This window comes from Homo sapiens, chromosome 20 (genome assembly GCF_000001405.40).
Source record: "Homo sapiens chromosome 20, GRCh38.p14 Primary Assembly".
NCBI lineage: Eukaryota > Metazoa > Chordata > Mammalia > Primates > Hominidae > Homo > Homo sapiens.
The window spans coordinates 13,660,184-13,664,057 of NC_000020.11; positions in this window are offsets into that span (position 1 = coordinate 13,660,184).

Genomic DNA, 3,874 nt, shown 5'->3' on the forward strand with positions numbered 1-3,874 from the left:
CACATCACCACACCTGGCTAATTTTTGTATTTTTAGTAGAGACAAGGTTTCACCATATTGGTCAGGCTGGTCTCAAACTCCTGACCTCAGGTAATCCACCCACCTCGGCCTCCCAAATGCCGGGATTACAGGCATGAACCACCCCACCCAGCTGAACTTGCATTTCTAGTAAGTTCCCAGATAATGCTGACGCTACTGGTTTAGGGAACATATTTAGGAACACATTAGGAACCTATATTTACCAATATAGGGAAGGAGGTTGTTGGCTTTATTTTATTTTATTTTATTTTATTTTGAGACAGTCTTGCTGTGTCCGCCAGGCTGGAGTGCAGTGGTGTGATCTCGGCTCACTGCAACCTCCACCTCCCAGGTTCAAGCGATTCTCCTGCCTCAGCCTCCCAAGTAGCTGGGACTACAGGTGCGCACCTGTAGTGGCTAATTTTTTGTATTTTTAGTACAGATGGGGTTTCACCGTGTTAGCCAGGATGGTCTTGATCTCCTGACCTCGTGATCCATCTGCCTCAGCCTCCTAAAGTGCTGGGATTACAGGCGTGAGCCACCACACCCAGCTGGTCGTTGGCTTTAAATAGGAGTCTGGGCTGGGCATGGTGGCTCATGCCTGTAATCCCAGCATGAATGAATGAATCCTCACCCTTTGGAAGGCTGAGGTGGGTGGATCACTTGAGGCCAGGAGTTCAAAACCAGCCTGGTCAACATAGCAAAACCCCATCTCTATTAAAAATACAAAAAATTAGCTGGGTGTGGTGACACATGCCTGTATTCCTAGCTACTCGAGAGGCTGAGGCATGAAAATCGATTGAACCCTGGAGGAGGAGGTTGCAGTGAGCCGAGATCACTCCACCGCACTCCAACCTGGGCGACAGAGTAAGACTCTGTCTCAGAAGAAATGAAAATAAAAGTAAATAGGAGTCTGTTAATTTGTAATAACAGATTCATCCATTAAAGTAGTTATACATGAGGGTTTACTTTGGAAAGATGCAGTCGGGAAGACAAAGACAGCTAACATAGCCAGTCTGTGTCTCAGGATATGTGATTCACCGAGAGCCTAGCAGTGCTTCTGACGAGAAGTCACTCAGGATAGCTCTAAGTTTCCAGGCACATTACCCTCACCTTCTACTAGCTGGGCCATTTTTCTGATGTACAGCCAAGTAGAAACTCTCGGATCACAGAAGTACTCCCTTTACATGAATAGAACGCCTCAGCAGCCTCTCCTGGCTGAAGCTCAGCAGCATTCTTGGAGTCCCAGGTGCTCTTTGCAATGCGTGTTCCATAACATCGCAAAAGAGCCTAACTCAACATGATTGTGTTATTTTGCTCGCCAGCATTTGGAGTCGTGATGAGCTGAGGGCTGAGCCAAAAACCCCAAGAAGCCTGAGCCTGCATTTTTTTTGTTGTTGCTCTTACTGCAATGTTCATCTCTTGCCAGAAACAGCCACTAGCAATCAATCTTTCCGTAAAGTTTTTCTTTTCTCCCCCATCGTTGAGGAGATAGGGGATAGCAATACATTCTGAATATTCAGAATGTAATAGCAACAACAACTTCCCTCTGTGTAGCTGTTTAAAGTTTTAAAACATTTTCCCGGCCGGGCGCAGTGGCTCACGCCTGTAATTCCAGCACTTTGGGAGGCCAAGGTGGGTGGATCACCTGAGATCAGGAGTTCAAGATCAGCCTGGCTAACATGGTGAAATCCCACCTCTACTAAAAATACAAAAATTAGCCAGGCATGGTAGCACATGCCTGTAATCCCAGCTACTCAGGAGGCTGAGGCAGGAGAATTGCTTGAACACAGGAGGCAGAGGTTGCAGTGAGCCGAGATCATGGCATTGCACTCCAGCCTGGACAACAAGAGCGAAACTCCATCTCAAAAAAACAAAACAAACAAACAAACAAAAAACATTTTCCCCTTCAATTTATTGCATCCACTTTGTACATGAGGAAACTGGGGCTCAGAGAGGGAAAGGAAATTCAACTGGTGGAACCAGGACTCCTGATCTTTGGATGCCAAGGTTCAAATCTTTTCCAAATTCCAAATTCATTTTGTCATATGCTGGTCTGAACAGCTCTTCCAAGCCCCTCTGACTTGGCACATGGCAGAAACAACAATGGCGAATGGCATGAACTCACCCATTGCCCCTCTTTGGAATACCTTGCATACCTTATCTGTGTTAGCTTTTGCCCCTTGTCTCTGCACCCTGATTAATAATGGTTTGTTGATTGATTGAGCTGGTTTTCTATATGCCATACATTTGAGGAGGTAAATAGGTGGGCATGGTTTTTATGCCTTTATTTTTTTTAAGTAGACTTTATTTTGTAGAAAAACTTTAGGTTTACAGAAAATTGAAAGTTACAAATTGATCAGAAAGTAGAGTTCCCACATACCCCTTCTCCCTCTGCACAGGGTAGTCTCTATTATTTACATCTTATGTCTATGTGGTACAAGTGGTGAACCAACATTGATACCTATTATTATTACTATTATTATTATTATTGAGACGGAGTCTTGCTCTGTCCCCCAGGCTGGAGTGCAGTGGCATGAATCTCAGCTCACTGCAACCTCCGCCTCCCAGGTTCAAGAGATTCTCGTGCCTCAGCCTCCCGAGTAACTGGGATTACAGGCATGCACAACTGCGCCCGGCTAGTTTTTGTATTTTTAGTAGAGATGGGGCTTCACCATGTTGGGCAAGCTGGTCTCAAACTCCTGACCTCAAGTTATCTGCCTGCCTTGACCTCCCAAAGTGCTGGAATTACAGGAGTGAGCCACCGCGCCCGGCCAATACCTATTATTAACTAAAATCTACAATTTACATCAGGATTCACTCTTTGTGTTATAATTCTATGGCTTTTGACATGTATAATTTATAATGACATGTATCCACCATTACAGTATCTGAGTATTTTTCACTGATCTAAACATCTTCTGTGCTTCATCTGTTTGTCACTCCCTCTTGTCCCCTACCCCCCACCCCCAAGGTCCTAGCAACCATTGATCTTTTTACTGTTTCCATAATTTTGTATTTTTCAGAATGCTATATAGTTAGAATCATACCGTATGCAGGCTTTTCTGTTCAGATTGGCTTCTTTCACATAGTAATATGCATATGTTTTCTCTATGTCTTTTCATGGCTTGATAACTAGATTGCTAGAGTGCAGTGGCATGATCTCGGCTCACTGCACCTCCACCTCCTGGATTCAAGCGATTCTCCTGCCTCAGCCACGAGAGTATCTGGGATCATAGGCGTGCTCCACCACACCAGGCTAATTTTTGTATTTTTAGTAGAGATGGGGTTTCACCATGTTGCCCATGCTGGTGTCAAGCTCCCGAGCTCAAGCGATCTGCCTACCTCAGCCTCCCAAAGTGCTGAGATTACACTCGTTAGCCACTGCACCTGGCTTCATTTCTTTTTATTGCTGAATACTATTCCATTGTATGTATGTGCCACAATTTTTTTATCCATTTGCCTATTGAAGGACATCTTGGTTGCTTCCAAGTTTAGGCAATTATTAATAAAATTTCTGTTAATAACTGTGTGCAGGTTTTTGTGTGGATATAGTTTGCATCTAATTTGAGTAGACAAAGAAGAGTGTGATTGCTGGATCATAGGGTCAGATTATGTTTAATTTTGTAAGAAACTGCCAGCAAAGAAGGAGAATTCCTTTTACTCCACATCCTTGTCGCAATTATTGTGTCAGTGTTTTGAATTTTAGCGATTCTAATAGGCATATAGTGGTATTTTATTTTATTTTGTTTTGTTTTGTTTTTTGAAACAGAGTCTCACTCTGTCGCCCAGGCTGGAGTGCAATGGCACAATCTTGGCTCACTGCAACCTCTGCCTCCTGAGTTCAAGCAATTCT